At 33.9% G+C, this 19,536-nt stretch overlaps 1 long non-coding RNA gene across 1 annotated transcript in view; it reads left to right on the top strand.

Moving 5' to 3' along the window:
* The window catches only part of LINC01687 (long intergenic non-protein coding RNA 1687), an 89,302-nt gene that overhangs the window by 39,284 nt on the left and 30,482 nt on the right, over positions 1-19,536 (top strand). The window contains exons 3-4 of the long non-coding RNA NR_109959.1: positions 16,068-16,231; positions 17,741-17,956. This is a non-coding gene — a long non-coding RNA (long intergenic non-protein coding RNA 1687). The remainder of the gene's footprint in view (positions 1-16,067; positions 16,232-17,740; positions 17,957-19,536) is intronic.

Raw genomic sequence — 19,536 nt, 5'->3', positions numbered from 1 at the left:
AGATTTGTAGTTTAATAGAATTGTTTGTTTATTTTGTTGTTGTTGCCTGTGCTTTTAGGCTCTTAAACTTAAAACCTTTGCCAACATCAGTGTCCTAAAGCATTGCCCCCATGTTTTCTTCTAGTATTTTTATAGTTTTGGGATTTAACATTTAAGTCTTTAATCCATTTTCAGTTGATTTTTTTATATTGTGAGAGATAGAGATTCATTTTAATACTTCTGTATCTGGATATCCAGTTTTCCCAGAAGGATTTACTAAAGAGGGTGTCCTATCCCTAATATGTATTTTAAGCAACTTTGTCAAAAATCAGTTGACCATGAATATGTGGATTTATTTATGGTTATCCAGTCTGTCCCATTGATCTATGTGTCTGTTTTTATGCCGGTATTATACTGATTTGTTTATTGTAGCCTTGCAGTATATTTTGAAGTCAGGTGGTGTGATACCTAAGTTTTGTTCTTTTTGCCCAGGATTGGTTAGGCTTTTCAGGTTGTTTTGTGGTGCAAATAAATTTTAGGATTTTTTTTTTTCTGTTTCTGTGAAGCATGTCTTTGGTATTCTGATAGGGATTGCATTGCATCTATAGTTTGCTTTGAGTAGTATGGACGTTTTAGGAATATTAATTCTTCCAGTGCATGAGCATGAGATGTCCTTCTATTTGTCTGTGTCCTTTTCAATTTCTTTCATTAGCATTTTGTAGTTTTTATTGCAGAAGTCTTTCATGTCTATGGTTAAATTTATTCCTAACTATTTAATATATGTAGCCATGGTAAATAGGACTGTTTTCTTGATTTCTTTTTCAGCTAGTTTGTTATTTGTTTTACAGAAATACTACTGACTTTTATATGTTAATTTTGTATTATGTAACTTTACTGAGTTTATGAGTTCTAAGTTTTCTGGTGAAGTCCTCAGTTTTTTCTATGTATAAGATTATGTCATCTGCAAAGAGAGACAATTTGGCTTCCTCTTTTCCAATTTGGATGCCTTTTACAATGTATCTACTCTAACTTAATAATCATATGTACTTTAAAACTACATAATAATGACTACACAATTCTGTTTAAATTTTTTAAATATGATTATATTTACAATTCTTTTAGAAATAAGAGCATAAGTAAGTTTTTATGGCTTCTACAGCTAAGAAGCACAATGTAGCCAATGAAATGTGCAATGAAATATTTTCAACATTTTGTAATTAATGCTCATGTTCCTCAGTTTCAAATCCACCGCACAATCATTCTTTTTCTTTTTGGCATTTAATATTAAATGTGGTGAATCTCACAGCTTGTCTTATCACAATGCCAAATTAACAATTCTAAAAGCAGTAAGTAGATGAAACCATGAATAGGCATTTTTTAAAAGCAAATAATGTTGCTTGCTCCACAAAACCTCTCATCAAAATACTTGTTTCAAACCAGTTTATTTTGTATAGTAAAATAATGTTGCCTGCCCATATTCAATTTTTTTCTATTTCTCTTAGGAATGAATAACTTTTACTGTGTTCTATTGGAGAGTAAATATTCTATCCCTACATCTTAAAAATGAAAATTTTAATCAATTTGTAGGAGTAGAATTTATTAACAATTATACAACAGCCCAATCTCAGAAAAGATTAAAGGGAATGACTTTGATTCTGTAACATTCTGATTACTTTCTTAAGATTTTAATCTTCTGGCTGGGTGCAGTGGTTTACACCTATATTCTCAACACTTTGGGAGGCCCAAGGTGAGCAGATTGCTTGAGCCCAGGAGTTCCAGATCAGACTGGACAACATGGCAAAACTCCATCTCTACAAAAAATTACCTGGGTGTGGGGGTGCACGCCTGTAGTTTCAGCTACCCCAGGAGGCTGAGATGGGAGGATCATCTGCCCCTCGGGGGTCAAGGCTGCAATGAGTTGTGATTGAACCACTGCACTTCAGTCTGGTGACAGAGCAAGACCCTGTTTCGAAAAAAACAACAAAAAGATTTTAATTTTCTCATAGCTTGTGAGTTTAAATCTTAAATCTTCGCTGTGAAGCAGCCAGAAGAAACACAAAAAATGAAACCTCAACACAGCCACTAAGTTGGGCAACTAAAGCCCAGTCACTTTAAATTTCAGGGTTTCGGTTTTGTGTTGGAGAACTTCAAAAGCTAGAGCATAATGAATTTTAAATCTCAACCGTGCTTTTTAAATTTCTCAGATTGCCTTTTGAATCATTACTAATTTCTAATAAAATATTTTTCAGTCATGTTTTATAACATATTATACATACATGTAGTTACATGTGTATTTATATATAATATATGCAAATATATGTCTACATACACATATATAATTTATGAGCTTGTAAAAACTCATGATATTCCAGTTCTAAACAAAATTATTAACAATTCTACTAGTTAAGATTCAAGATAACTCAGCAGTTTATTTTTTCCTCTGATGCAATCTTCCAAGGGAATAGTCAGAGCACTATATCCAGAAGTTGCTTAAATCGATTTATCTTTTTGTCTTCATTGGTTCTGTTATGAATGTTAAATTTATATCCATTGCTATTTGTTTTGCATTCAATTATAGTCCTTGTTTATTTTTTTAATTTTTGTCATTATTTTGGGTAAGGTATATGTTTTGATCATATAACATATTTATCTTTTTCTTTTTTTGCTAAATTGAAGTGTACAGTCATTATTTGCTAGTATTGGGGGTTGGTTTGCTTGCATTTTTATCATGTTTTCGATCCCTTAATTTTCACGTTTTGCTTCCTTCTTTCCTTTCCGTACCATGTGTAAAAGGATACCTTCTGTTTCTAAGCAGATTGCTTTTTGCCCAAAGGCTGTACCCTCTAAATATTGCTGCTTATTCTTCACATTTTTAAGACCATTTCTTTCAAAAATACAAGGCAATGATTCACTGAATTAGAAATTTGTTCTTAGTATTTTCCACTCCTGATGGGATGCTCTGTATCGGATGAGATTTTATTTTCTTTGTCAGAATACATAAAACTATAAACCAAATGGTTTTTATGGTTCAGTATTTGTTAAGCTGATATTTGCATGTACTGTTTTTAGCAATACATTTTGTTAATATAAAAATATTTACTTCTAATCTATTACAAGGAAAACATAAAATAAAAACTGCAGCCTATTAAAAATTAGTCATTTAGGTAATGAATTTCTCAATATTGGGTTGGATTCTATCCTTCATAAAGATTCTTTATTGAATTTTTCCTTTTTATCTTCTTGGATAAATAACAGATAATTATGAAATATATGTTATATCATCAAAAAATTCAGTGATTATTTAAATTGCTTTCAATTGTTATTCAATATGTCATTTTGGGACACCATCTCATCAAGTTGCCTGTTGTTCCTGAAAACGTTAATGGTGTGAAATCTGTTTCTGAAGAAACTCTGGTTCCCTACAGAATGATGTATCTCTGTGTTTATTTTGGAAAGCTTACATGACGTCTTATACCTTATTTTAAAATTGTTTATTTTGTATTCATCTAATTTATTCTAGAAGGGCTTTCTTTTCTTGTCATATGCTAATTATAAATTCTTGATATACTGATTGAATTCAAATTTTACTGCTCAAAACTTAAAAATAGTTATTAAATATTTCAAAGGTAGTTAGAATAATAATTCATTAAATAATGATGCATATTTCACATATAATGATTCTGTGAGTCAATTTTCATTAAGAAAATCATAATTTATGATGCCTGTATTCAAGTGAGTCCTCTTGTTCTAAGTCTCAGGATGTACCTCCCTGGAGAGACACTCATTCAGTTATTTTTACAAAGAAATAATAGATTGTTATTTTTGTAACTCTTAAAAGGGAAAAAAAATGTGTTTGTAATTCATTATCCTATGTCAGAAACAAAATAAGTAAACTATGGTTGAAGTATTTAAAATAGTCCATGGACGATAGAGAGTGTTGGAGACAGTTTAGAACTCATAATTATCTCACTCTAAAACCAATGTTTCTTTCACCCACACGAATTCCAGAGGCACTATCATTATAAATTTCATTGTTTTAAGAGCACTGTTAATTGGAGTAATGAGAAACATAAGTTTACATGAAGCTAAGAGTGAAAGTACCAGTATTTAATTTGCTTAACGTGTTAAGTTTTTCATATTTGTTTCTATTCACTCATAGTGTTGTGGGGTTTTTAATGTCATTAATAACTATTCAGTAATTAAACATTATTAAAAATACTTACTTTGCATACACTTCCATTTCTTCTTCTAGGATCTAAGAAATATAATAACTAGATTGGAAAACATCACACAAAGTAGTAATCTATTTTAAGTAAAACTTTTCTTTCTTTTTCTTATCCTATCAATGATTCTATCTGTAATAGGTATAGAAAATGTTAGAAATGAATTTTGTCTAATGCTCATGATGATTTAGACCTGAAGGATGGGATTTATAGTTACTTTAACATTATTTTTCTCATATATTGAATTATTCTTAATCACAGTGTGATCTACCAAAAATACATTTAATTTTTTAATGTTCAACATACTTAAATATTTGAGTATTTAACTCATATTTATGAGAGAAAAATTTCAGTTTATAAGACTATATTACTCCATTTGTCCAGCATCTTAAATTGAGTATATTAGTTTTATATTCAGATAATGTTATGGACTGAATGACTAAGAGAGAAATTAGTACCGAGAGTGGAATGGTTCTATAAGAAATACCTAAAAACATAAATGTAGCTTTGGAACTAGGTTATGGATAGAAATTGGAAGGGTTTTGAGTAAGTGCTAAAAGAAGCTAATACTGCCGTGAAGGACCTTTCTAAAGGCAATTCTGGTTAGAGCTCAGAAAGGGAAGAGTGGAGTTGTCGAGAAAGTGTTCATCTCCTTAGAAAACACGTAAGTAATCATGAACAGAATGTTAATAGAAATATGAGTTATAAGGGTCATTCTAATGAGGTATCAAATGGGAATAAGCGAGATGTTTTTAGAAAGCAGACGGATAATCTGTGATATAAAGTGCCAAAGAACTTGGCTGAACTGTGTTTGTGTAGTAATGTTTTGTGGAAGGTAGAATGTATAACTTGTGATATTGAATATTTAACTCAAAGCATTTCTAACCAAAATGTTTACGGAATGGTTTCATTTCACCTGAATGTTTACAATAAAATGAAAAAAGAGATAAATGAATTGGAAAAGAAATTGTTAAGCCAAAAAAACCCAGGACTTAAATATTTAAAACATTCAAAGCATATATACATATACACGTGTGTATATATGTGTATATGTGTGTATATATATACACACACATAATGTGAATGAGTGTTTGTTTGGAGGAGAACAGTAATGGTGTGGCAAACCAACCATTTGATAAGGAGATTAGTGTGGGGGTAAACCAGAAATTCCCAGCTCTCTCAATAGAAGCCCAGAATAGAGATAGCATGATTCCAGGAAAACACTAGGACTAAAGGAAACACGGAAAATGAGATGTAATGAAGCAAGACTGTAAATGTGTGCTCTTCTTCAAGAAATGTGTGCTGTTCTTCAAGAAAAGGGAAGAAGAATCACTGAAAGTGATTCAGAGACCATCAGGGACACTGTCTAACTTTCAACAGGGCAGAAGTCTTCCTAAAGAAATTGCGGAGGCAAAGCCACCCTGCACATCTCTGGAGCATGACCTCCTACCCATTAGAGCCTCAGCATGGGTGGGGCCGCTACAGATTGCCACAGCATGGGGCACTGAGCTGTGGGGATAACAGTACTACCCCAGTGGGTATGAAAGGCAAAATATCAGGCCAAAGGAGATTGTTCTCAAGCCTTAAGAACTCATGAAGTTTTCCTTGCTACATTTTAGAATTGCTTGGGACAGATCGTCCCTTCCTTTTTCCCTATTTCCCCCTTTAAAAATGGAAATGTCTTCTCTATGCCTGTCCTATAATTATATTTTTGAAGCAGATAACTTGTTTGGTTTCACAGGCTCACAGCTGCAGAGAATTTTGCCTTAGAATGAATCTCACTTCAAGTATTATCTCTACCTAATTTAGATGACGTTCCAATAAGACCTTGGACTTTACCCTTTATAGCTGATATTGGAATGAATTAAGACTTTGGAGATTATTAGGGTAAAATAAATGTATTTGGCATGCAGGGATATACATTTTGGGCAGCCAGGGATGTAGTGTTATGGGCAATGTCTGTGTCCCTCAAAATTCATATGTTAAAGTCCTGATTCCTGATGTGATGATATTAGGAGGTGTGGACTTAGGGAGGTATTTAAGTTGTGAAGGTGGAGCTCTCAGGAATTAGATTAGTGTCTACATAAGAAGAGACCTGAGAGCTTGCTGTAAATCTCTGCTTTCTGCCATGTGAGTATAATATGAAAAGAGGGCTATCTGAAAATCAGGAAGAGTGTCCTCATTAGACAACAGACTTACTGTCACTTTGACCTTTGACTTCCCAGCCTTCAGAACTATTAGAAATGAATTTACCTGGGTGAAGCCACCCATTCTATGGATTTTTTCTATAACGGCATAAACTAAGACATACAATAATGTCTAAACATATTTATTGTTTTTTGCATTTTCCTGAAGAGATAAATTTTCATATATCATTTTTTAGTTTTATTATTCTTTACATTTAAAAAATGCTGCCATGTACTCAATAACTGTATTGAAAATATTTATACAAATACATATTATATATTTTAAAATTAACATTTATATTAGACAATAATACTTCATATTTGGTGATCTGGTGAGCAATCACTATTATAATCATTATAAGACCATTAATAAATAAATTAATAATATATTCGTGTACATTATTTTAGCTAAAATCTACTGAATTTCTTCTTCATCACCAGCATTAACTAGGCCCTAAGCTGAGTCCACACTTTCTAGAATGTGAGAGTTTCAACAAGAAAAATAAAAGTATCACAGAATGGTGGGGGTAGGGAGTTTGGAATAAGTAGTTAGTTTTTCAACAATACTATTGTGATTTTTGTAGATTCCTACATGTTATAGATTCACTTTTGAAATAGCAGAATTAAATAATGTAAAGCATGTATTCATGGTTTTGTAAATCATTAATAAAATATTGAAAGTAGTAGTTGCAGCATAGGTACTCAAATTTTCTTGTTTCAGGTTATGGTTTATGGGACTCATGAACATTTAGATTTCAGAAGTGCATGCCTATTATTGACCCCAAGCTGCTGCATGTTTCATGCAGATATGATCTACTATATTTAGTGTGCATATATGATCTACTATATCTAAAAGAGAATGTTACCAGAAGTCTCAGGGCACTACAGTATCAAGCATAATATATACGTTACAACTGTCGGGAAGAATAAAAAGATTCATTGGTATCAATGTTTACAAATTTCCATATATCATTACAATGTTTCGTTGTTCATTACTTTGTAATAGTAACTATAGAAGAATAGAAAAGAAAAGCATATATCTCTATAACTTAAATAGGAAAATGAATATTGTAATTAGGTATTATCACTGATGATCCTCTTTGTTTAAAAAAAGAGATGTAAGTATTCTTGATGTAGAAAGGAGAAAAACAAATTTATGTCCACAGTGCTTGTCCTTTATTCTCTGATTAGTCAGTTATAATGTAATCTATTGAAAAATTAGATTTTTGTCTGAAATGTGTCTTGGCATCAGATTGGTACAGGATTAAGAAATTGATATTATAAGGAAATTTACTGTTTTTATTACCATAATAACTGAACTCAAGTATCACTTTGCATGTTATAATACATATTTTATTTTTTCCTTTGTAAATTTATTTGTATGTTGGTTTAGAATGAGGCCCTAGGAAAGTAAAATAACTATATATTTATATTTAGGGGTAGGAGGAAAAGACAGGGAGGCATCCTAAAAGAGTCAATGGTCGAAAATACGAATAAAAATGAGTTACCTCCATCTTCAATCAACTTCAAAAACAAACAGTTTCAGCAATTAATTCATATGCAACTAAGAATATAAGAAAATGTATGAGATGTACTCAAAGATAAGAAGTTTACTAAATATATATACTTAATACGTATTATATTTTTACTTTCTATGTAATCAAGAATTATAAGTTTATTAAATATATATTTTCTAGAAAGAATATACATACATGTAAAAATAGAAATATATTTATTTTACATATATGTAAAAATAATGATTTCTCTATATATTTCTCTGTTATATACGTGTGTGTGTGTGTATATATATATAAATAAATATATATATTCCTTTGTAAACCTCTAATTTCTAAGATAGGTTTGCTAGGGGTTAAAGGCAACAGCTTGGTAAGTGTCAGTAAGTCAGAGGATGAGTTGGTTCATGAATTATTCCACTGATTTGACATTATGACCCACTGCGTTTGTTTGGACCTCTTGATAAAAGCATTCTGAAATGCTCAGCACTACACACTAATGCATTTTACATTAAACCTAATCAGCTGGATATCCAGAATCTTGGTTTTTAAATGCCAAGAAGAAAATTTTCAGTATTGTTTTTAAGAGCTAAATTTCATTTTGTTGCACTAAAATATTTTTTAAGTCAAAATCCTCAAATATCCTATGCTATAATTAATAACCACTGAAAACATATATTAAATTGGAAAATTGTAGATTCAATGAATGTTTTAAATCTTTAAAAATCCTGGCTGGCTCACACCTGTAACCCCAGCACTTTGGGAGGCTGAGGTGGGCAGATCATGAGGTCTAGGAGTTCAAGACCAGCCTGACCAAACTGGTGAAACCCTGTCTCTACTAAAAATACAAAAATTAGCGGGTGTGGTGGCAGGCGCCTGTAGTCCTAGCTACTCAGGAGGCTGAGGCAGGAGAATCACTTGAACCCGGGAGGCGGAGGCTACAGTGAGACGAAATCGCGCCACTGCACTCCAGCCTGGGCGACAGGAGACTCCGTCTCAAAAAAAAACATCCCATTGACCACTTTCTCATTGTTAAAGCCATGTTTATCCTTACTTCCTCCTTGTCTAAATATAAAATAACTATATATATATATATATATATTTTTTTTTTAGACAGAGTCTCACTCTGTCTCCCAGGCTGGAGTGCAATGTGCACGATCTCGGCTCACTGCAACCTCTGCCTCCCGGGTTCACGCTATTCTCCAGCCCCAGCCTCCCGAATAGCTGGGATTACAGGCGCCCACTACTGTACCCGACTAATTTTTGTATTTTTAGTAGAGACGGGGTTTCACCATGTTGGCCAGGTTTGTTTTTGACTCCTGACCCCAGGTGGTCTGCCTTCCTCGGCCTCCCAAACTGCTGGGATTACAGGCATGAGCCACTGTGCCCGCCCTAAAATACTAACTTCTTTAAGTAGTCAATAAGAACATAAGTTGCTAAAAACTGCAAATGTTACTATGTCTTAAATTTCCAAATAAATTTTAAGTAAATTGAAATTTAGGTATCAACAAACTTAAATCAATGACACTTAGGATGAATTAAAAAATTCGGTGGAGGAATTTTTCTTCTCTGACTTATAGAATCTCTATTCTTTAACTGTATTACTGCAGGATATTTTAATATTCAATTATCTTTTATTTATGTAATAGTGTTTTCACCTTCCTTTTTCACGTATACTTTAATAATTATGTCAAAAATTCGTGGTGCTTGGAAAGATGTTTTCATTTAAATGGGGTGATTATGTTGATTCGTGCTGTTATAATAAAATATATAAATGCAGGAAGAAACATGGGACTCATGGAGGAAATTCCAGAACAGAGTGCGCTGGCCCAACTACAGAGTGTGCTTTTTAGCCTGCTCTCTCCACTCCTTTAGTTTATTGGTTGAATTCAATTCAAAAACTGTGAGTGTGCATCACTGACCTTTACCCAGCTTGGGGTATAGCTACAATCATCCTCTAATTAGTACTATAATTACAAGAAAATTGAAGGGTAAAGTAGGTTAGAGTCTTTTCCTCTCCATTTATAGTAATGTAAATATTGAAAATTACAGTTTATCAACTCAATTTTGCATATGTTGTCTTCAGTACTCACCACAAGCTTTCAAATTTATTACTCACATTCAACAAGTCAACAAAACAAATAATGAAAGAGGTTAGATGATTTGTTCAATTTCTCCCGATTGGTACTTTTCAAGGCTGGATCTGCATGTTGGTCCAGTGTGCTCCTGCCACCTGTTGCCGAGTGTGCTTAGATTTCCCATCCAGACCAAAAAGGCCCTCTTCCTAACAGTGATGTATCTGCTTGATATACATCTTTGCTGTTTAACAATGAAGTCTTTTAGTTAAAGACATATTTTTGTGTAAATTCCAGCTGCTATAATCAAGTACCATAGAGTGTGTGGCTTATAAAAACCAGAAATAGATTTTTCACATTTCTGGATCCTCAAAATCAAAGATCAAGGGATGATCAGGTTTTGGTGAAGGCTCTCTTCCAAGCTGCAAACTGCTGACTCCTCACTGTATCTTCACATGGCAAAGAATAAAGAGGGGAAATAAGCTTTTTCATGACTCTTATAAAGGCACAAATCTTACTTGTGAAGGCTCTACCTTCATGACCTTATGTAATCCTAATCACCTCCCAAAGTCCTCATCTCTAAACACCATTGCATTGGGGATTAGACTTCAACATATGAGTTTTGGGAGGACATAAATATTTAGTTCATAACAAAAATCTGTAATTTTACATGTGTATACACACACAGACATACATATATATGTATGTATGTGTATAGATAGAGATATAAAATAGATTTTTAAGGTATGAGAAAAAGTCAAAAGAGAAGGAAATATTTATGAAAAAAGGGTGACATTATCGTACCCTTGAAAATTGTAATTAAAACTCAGTGAATTTTTTTCATCAAGTAGTATTCATCACGCAACACAATCATATCTCCAATGTCTATTAAGGAGACTTTTTATGAGCTATGCTTTACAGCGTTTGGGAAGAAAATAACCAAGAGTTAGTAGTAAAAATACAAAAATTACATAAAAAACATAGTTTTTATGAAAGAACTGATTAAATTAGAAGAGACAAAATCATAAAGGCAACTGAAATAAAACAGTAATTGTTTTTCAAACCCCTAAAGAAATTGCATAAAATTTTTCCTGCTTAAAGAGAATATAATTCATCTTTTGCGAATCACACTTTTAGAAGAAAATTTATAGTTAGAATGGTAGTTCAGTATAATTTGTTTAGACTGTTGCTTAAAAAATATTGTGTTTTTTCATTTCCAAAAAAAATTATTTCTCTTGTTTTATACTCAGAATCTACACTTTTTCTGACAAAAATAATGGCAGTATTTTGCTTTATGTGTTCACAAAACAAAAATCTCAATTGTAATAGTATATCGTAAAAATTAACATGATTTTTATTTCCAATATGATTGATTTTATATTTTCTTTATTGCTCTCACTTTAAAATTTGTAAATAATTTCAAGTGTATAAAAAAACAGTACAAATAACATTTTTGCCTTGAACTATTTAAGAATAAATTGCTGTCAAATCTCAATATTTCTTTGTTTGACATTTATTCATGATTAGATTTATAGTGTATGTTTGATTTTTGCTTTTAATATTGTAAGGTGACTTTGAAGAAGCTTTTAAAGAAATAAGTACATAATTTCCCTCAGTCTTATGATTGTATTATGCTTGTGAAAGATAAAATAACGTCTCTGTAATATGCAAAAGTCCTGTTACATAAGGTCTCATAACATATTAATATTACTCTATAAAAATCACTTCTGGATTGAAGCAATGAATTAGACAACAATTTAACTTAATCTAGGTGTTCTATTCCTCACACATTGTTTCATTAAATCAAATTTAATAAATATTATCCATGTAAAGCACACATTTTGAAGAGTTGTGACAGATGTATATACTCATAAAGTCACCGACATAATTAAGATAAGAGAATGTGGTCATAATCCCCTAAAGATTCCTTTTGCCTCTTGCTAGTTGATTCCTTCCACTGACTTTGGACCTATGTAACCACTAATGATTTGCTTACATTTTATTAACTTTTACTAAATTTAAGATCTGCTATTTATGTTACTTTGTATCTGACTAGGTTCACTTAGCAAAATAACCTAGATTTATTCATGTTGTGGTTGACCAGTATTTTGTTTCTTTGTATTGCTGAGTAGAATTACATTGTACGCATATAACAAGTTGGATTTATCCATATACATGTGGATGGGCATATGGGTTGGTTTCAGTTTGGAATTAGTGAAAAGTAAAAATCCTATAAATATGTGAAAATAAGTTTTTGTGTGTAAATATGCTGTCTTTTTGTGGGGGGTACATGTCTAGGAATGGAAGGAAAACATTATATGTTAAGTGTATAACTTTAAAAAAATAAATAGTTGCCCAAAGTGTCATGTTTTATGTACCAACCAGTAAGTTTTCATATTCCAAATATTTGTCAACACAGATTTGTCAACACAGCTGCACCATATTTCTGCTTGGAGACATCTTCCAGAATATTGGCTTGGGAAGAAAACCTAAATTGAGTCTAGCAGATTTCCAGTAGGAGAAAAAAATATCAGAATTTAGGGAGGCTGAGACTACAGGAAATAACAAGGCAGAGCTGTGGAAAGAAACAAGCAAGAAAAGAGCTCAAAAATGCATACTGGGTTCCTTCTGGGTCAAAACTAAAAACAGCACACTGGTAAATTTAAAGCCAACCATACTTTAATCATATTAAATATATGTGCTATAAACATTACAGTTGATAAAATAGAAAACAAAAACAAAGCACCTTCCAACTATATGCTATCTACAAAACAGAATGGTTTGACCCACCATCTTATGTACTAGAAGCCGTATTTATGTATCACTTCAAATCCTTGAAAAATAGTACCAATGTTTCTCCTTATTATGATACTATTTTCTGACTCTTCTAGTCAACTGATATCCAACAGGTTCATCAAAGTATATTCATTATTGTTGTATCTCTCTTTAAATCTATTATTAATGGATACACAATTATGGATATTATCTTTTTCCCAAAAATATATTTTCTGTACATAAATCCCTCAAAATAATTATGTTGTGTAATTATAAACATAAAAGGAATAATGTAAAGTACAAAAAAGTAGGAGGGAAACCAGCTTTACTAAACTGACTGATTTTTCTCTCATCACCTTGCTCTTTTCCTTTATTTTAGCACATAGATTAGTTTAACTAAAGAGCAAGGGAGATGATGGCCAGCCAATGTGTTCAGACTTTGTCAGAAATTGAAATACTCTCTGATGTAACAGCAGTTAAATTTTGGAATTTCTTTGTAAACTCAAAATGCCTACATACGAGTCTCTCCATTCCATATCAAAGAGACAATTGTATCTACACCTTGGAAAGGACAGAAATTCAGATGTAATGTTCAAATATGACATCATCTTTTTATCCATTGTGGATTATCAGGCAAAAAGGAGAACATAAACCAATACATTTTCAAATTATATGTGTACAAAATTAACTTTGAGAAATATTATATTATCTAGTAAACACAAAGAAAGATTTTTAATATAAATTATCTCTCTCTTAATTCCAATCAACTTTGTAAAGAATCATGTGCTTTAACATAATAGCTATAAATTGTTTTACAGTTAATTGTCTTTCTGTCCTTTTGTTTCAGCATATTCGTTTCTTCATTTATTCACTTATAAATATCTTCTAATTTCAGTCAGGTGTTCAAATTTTCAACAAAAACTGAATATTTATAATATTACCTGTGAATAAGCTCCAGTGCTGAAGTAGCTAGATTTAAAGGGCTCGTAAGTTAATAGAAAAATAAGTTGCCAAACATAGGACTAAACAGTAGTTTCTAATATGTTAAATTTTTTTTTTCTTTTTTTTTTTAATTATACTTTAAGTTTTAGGGTACATGTGCACATTGTGCAGGTTAGTTACATATGTATACATGTGCCATGCTGTTGCGCTGCACCCACTAACTCTAATATGTTAAATTATTTTTCATGCTTGGTTGCTTACTGGAAGAGCTTGGCCTTACCAGTCTCTGCAGGCAAAAAACCAGGGTAAAAGATCTCTTTTTCATCTGAGTGTTTTAAGAAATTAAATTATCATGTAAGGCACTCCCTAGGAGAATGTCCTGTTCTCTTTTGTCAGCATTCCCCTTTTCATGACCTTTGAAAACATTTTGCTTTTCAACCATATCTCTCCTCCCACTATTCTTTAGAAAATAAATTGAAAGTTCACCTGATGGTGATCAACTAATAAGAAAGACTTTTCAATGTCAGATTGAAATTGGAGAAACACATTAACATTTGTCATGATTTTAGATATATTTTTCCCCTGAATCTAAAGCATTTTTTCTCAAGACTTCTGCTTTTTTCTGCTGAAAAATTAAATTGAAAAAAACCTCCTTTTTCACAGGGTATGTGAGCAGATGAAATGAGGTACTCTGTACATTACTTTCTAATGTATCACACACTTCTTGATGTATAGTTTTAGAGAAAAATTTATAAACAGAATTGCTTTTTCTTCCTTTGCTTATACTATAGTGATTTATGTGCATGCTCTTTCCCTTTAAACATAAAATTTTTAAGTTAGGTACCATGTCTGTTTTGTTTGCATAATTACTCATAGCTAATACAATGGTGAATTTCACCCACAAAGCACTCAATAAATGTTAAATAGCGAAAGTAATACGTTATATTTTTTGTAAGTTTTGATCATACCAAGTGGCTATAAATTTACTATTTATGTTGTTTATTACATAAAACATTGGAGGCAGTCATCTTTATTCCCATTTTACTGATAGATATCTAAGATTTTCAAAAGTTAAGTGATGTGCTACATAAGGTCATATGGTTGATTGTAAGTATGTTTTACAGTTTAGAAAACAGTGTCAAATATCATTATACTTGACGGTCAATACCTCAGACAGATGGTTAATATAATTGTAAACAGTGATAAGTTATGTTGATGACATGTACCCTTGATATATTATGAAAATGACACTTTGCCTCTGTTATTTTTCTGCTGAAAACACATAACCCCAAGAACAGTCATGATAAAAACATCAGAAAATTTCCAGTTGAGAAACATTATTTAAAATAACTGACCAGTAGTGTTCAAAACTGTCAAGGTCATAAAAAACAAGTCTGAGAAACTGTCATGGCCAAAAGGAGTTTAAGGAACATGATGATTAAATGTAATGTGGCATTCTGAATGATATTCTTAAACAGAAAAATGGCACTTCATAAAAACTAAGGAATCTTAATAAAGAAGAGACTTCAGTTAATAATGCATCAACCTTATTTATTGTAATTTATTAACCTTATTTATTATAGTTCATTCATTGTGACAATGTACCATAGTAGTAAAAGATGCTCTAAAAATTTGAAAAAGAATCTTTCCTCATTGCTGTCAAGTATCATGATGAATCTAAAAATTGTAGTTACACCTAGTTTAGTAAAAATCTTAAAGGTGGATTGACACATTTTAAGCAGGCAAAGAAGATACTTGCTCTTTCTTACATTTTCATTAGCCACTATAGCTAAGCTTTAAATTATTTAACTGACTCATGTGCCTGCTGACAATAGCTTCTTTTCAATAGTACATCAGTTAAATCAAGATAGATATTGCCCTGAAGGTTTTTTTTAAATAATAACAGCCCTTTATATTGGTGTGATGCTTATAATGTCCGAAGTGCTTTTACATTCGTTTCTTGATTAAATTATTAAGAAAGACTATTTCAAAAAGTCAGCAGTCTTCAAAACTATTCCCATTTATGTGGTGACCTTTCACATTATCTCCATTTACACCAATGTTCTTCCCAAAGTGGATGCTCTGTTGTGCTTCTCATATTCTTCCTTCAGGGTAAAGGCACCTTTTTCCCAGGTACTAGGAGTCTTCAGTGCTACTAGTTCACAAGAAAATGCAGTCTGCACAGGGAAGTTTGCTCTTTCATTTTATGCCCCCTCTTGGGGGCACTCTGCATCCCATTTATTAATCTATCTGGAATTCAAAATTCCATGCCATTTTCTCTTTCTGGGAAATTCTGAAGTTTCATGCCAATTTCAATTATTTCTGTAGTTATCTTTGTAACCGCATCTTAGTTCAACATTTCTGTTATTCCAGTTCTGCTTCCTTCACTTGCAGAGAGTTGTTGTTATGATGAGTCTCCAATGAACCTGCTGCATCCCTGCTGCATATCTATTATCTGGGGTAATCTTCCTAAAAAGCAGAGTGTCAAGCAGCATGCCTGGTTATTCCAACTTATGCAGAAATAGAAGTGTCCTAAGGTAAGAATGAATGAACTTATGGGTAATGAGAAATAACATAGATGATTATCAAGAACATGAAAAGAGGTCTGTGGAAGAAACGTGGGTGTGTCTACGTGAGTTGGAACAAATTGTGTAGATCTTTGTATTGCATTTTAAGTTTACAGCAAGGATTCATCATAGAAGAGTCAGTCCCAAAAAGCCACACAGAAGCAGTGACTTGGCAAGTTCTCATTATCCAGGTTCTGTCATTGGCTACCCCATAGCAGGCACAAAGTACATATATGAAGTGGACATAGTGTTAGAGATAGAGAATATCCATGGATTAACAGCGTAACCTCCCACCCACAAAAGCTAATCTAGTTAATGCTGCTGCAGAATACCAAATATCTAAGAAACAGAGATCTTTGACATGGCATAATTTTTCAAGGAGAATTTCCAGCTACTTCATAAAAATCTGGTGCATGCAACACTCTCAACCTGGAAGGAAAGTTGGTTTGTCACTATTATAACATGTATCTTTCTTTCCTCTGTGCAAGGCATTGTAAGCACTAATATCAAAGGATTTACTGAATGTTTGAAATGTGATCTGGTAATCCATCAATACCATTTTTTAAAACAGAAGAGTCACTTTACAGCAAAGGAGATATGGTGGTACAGATATGACGATGGGACCCATAAATACTGTTATGTACTGCACTGCCAAAGATGAACAGGCAATAAAAAAAGCCAGCATGTTGTCAAGAGTAATTAACCCTGATAATCAAGGGGAGGTAGGGCTGCCATTATCCTATTGACCCACAGCTCTTTATTTTAAAAATGGCCCTGTACTCATTATTCTTCTTTGTTATAAATTAGTTCCTTTTATACCTGTCTGTTTCTAGAGATTCTATTCTGTTCAATTTTTTAACTTACCATTGTGCTAATATCACATTTCTGTGCTTATTGTAGTATGTAATAAGCCATGTGTTCTAGTAGAATAGATTCTCCATCTTGTTCTTTTAAAAATGTTTCCTGACTTTTCCTGACCATTTTTTATTTCTTGTAAATTTTAGGATTTGTTGGTAAATGTTCACAATAAATACTGCTTGCATTTGGTGGGACTGTATTGAATCCATGATTGTGTTAGAAACAATTGCTGTCTTTGCAATGTCTTCAACTCATAAACTCGATATGACTTTATTTATTTATGAAATTTGTATAATTTATAATTTTCTCTGTAGATATCCATCTCATTAGGTTCAATTCTAATCCCTTCATACATTTATAAATGCTGTCTTTCTTCTAAAATTTCACTTTCCAAATATTATTGTTTCCATATAGAAATAAACTTGGTTTTTACATCAAGTTTAACTTGTATCTATAGCCAATATCAAAGTTGACGTTTAATTATAAGAATTCTATAAGTTACACCTGCCTTTGGATTTTTAGACAATAATTTCTTTGAAAAATTACAGTCATATGTTTTATTCCAATTCTCATGAAATTTATTTTCTATTTCTGTTTTCTTTCTCTGCTTAACACTCTTAGCTTGGGGCAAGATGGCCGACTAGACACAGCAAGTGGAATTACCGCCAGCAAGGGACTGAGACAACTGGCGCACTCCTAACAAATCATCCGATGGAAGGCACCAGGAGTGGCCGAGGGAAGACACAGAAGGAAGCTGGGCTGAAACAGGAGGAACATTGCACTGGGCTACCATGCGCTGGGACTTGTTCCTGGCCCCCAAGGACTCTCAGGGAATGGGTGAGTTGAACTTGCAAGGAGCAACCTGTTCTAACCACGGACCTCTGGAATTCCAGCTGCAGGAGGCCCCTCAACTGCCATGGACACTCAGGTTGGCAGCCAGAGCTGCTTAGAGAAGTGGTAGGGGCAGCAAGCCAGCGGATGTAGAACCCAGGGAGTTTGGTGCGAGAACATTTGTAGCGGAGCACGGTCAGGGACTTCCATCCCTCTAGGCTTGACATGCTTTCATAGGAGACTTTAGTTCTAGGGCAACAGTCGGACTTGAACTCTGCAGGGTGGTCTTGACCATCAGACAAGGTTGGCCCAACATGAGCACCCTTTAGTTTGCTGGCCTCTCCCAGAGCCCGAGCCTGGCAGCACCTGCTTGCAGGGAAGCCTCAGGTACCCTGAGGGCCTGCATCATAGCTTCTGTACTGGAAGGCCTTCCATGACAGGGGGTAAGCGCTCCAGAAGTGCAGCTGCCATGGCCACACACCAGCCTGCCCACTCCCACCCCACACTACAGCTTCCTGTGTGTCTACAGCAAACACCCACATCACTTTGCTGACACATATGTGCACAGATGGGTTTTGCTTTCTTTACCTTGCCAGCATATATGTGTAAGTGCACCCTGCCGTGCTACTGCTGCAAGAAGAGTGCAGTCCACACCCCCTACCACCACCATGGCAGTTAGAACCTTGGTGGTCCCAGAGCCAACCAGTCCTACACCGACCATCACTGGCCATTTTGCCAACACTGCCATGGGAATGAAACTAGTCACAGGGAACAGCAGACCTCCCCACCCTGAGTGACCACCCCTGCCTGTGGCACATAGAAAACACAAAGAGAATGCACACAGACCTGTGCCCATCAGCGCCCTCCCCTATTGCCAACACTTGTGCAAATACAATCGCCAGCAGGGGCCCCTGCCCCCATAAGTTGCCTTTCCTCTGCCACTGTAGTCTACACTTGAGTGGAGACAGGCATGCAGGCACCTGCTAACACCCTGCTGTAGCTGACCAGCATGCACCCCACTGTGCTTCTGCTGCTGGCACATGCAAATGAGGATGTATTCCATTGTCACCAAACTAGAAAAGGCTTTGACTGGTACCACCCATCAGAATGTAGGGACCAGTGGTTGGAGAGCACCATGGCTCCCTCAGTGCAAAGGGATTCGTAACCTCAAGGAGACAAACAACAAGATTTGCTGGATACAAGTTCCCCAGAATTAGAGCAGGCAATCCAAGAGTTTGGTAGCTGGGTGTTGGCTATCTAGAATCTTCCAGAAATGAAGCAAGTTGGCTGAATTCACCTTATACCACAATTATGTCCTCAAAATTATCAAATAGGATAAAAGAAAAAAATGCATCCAAAGGTCAGCAACTTCAAAGATTGAAGGAACATAAGGAACGTTAAGTCCAAAAAGATGAGAAAGAACCAGTGCAAGAACCCTGAAAACTGAAAGAGCCATAGTGCCTTCTTTCCTTCCAATGACCACACCACCTCCACCACCTCCTCTCCACGGGTTCTGAACCAAGCTGAGATGGCTGTAATGACAGAAATTGAATTCAGAGTATGGATAGGAGCAATGCATTGAAAAC

The sequence above is a fragment of the Homo sapiens genome, chromosome 21 (assembly GCF_000001405.40).
Source record: "Homo sapiens chromosome 21, GRCh38.p14 Primary Assembly".
NCBI classification, from domain to species: Eukaryota; Metazoa; Chordata; class Mammalia; order Primates; family Hominidae; genus Homo; species Homo sapiens.
This window is presented reverse-complemented; position numbering and strand designations above follow the sequence as displayed.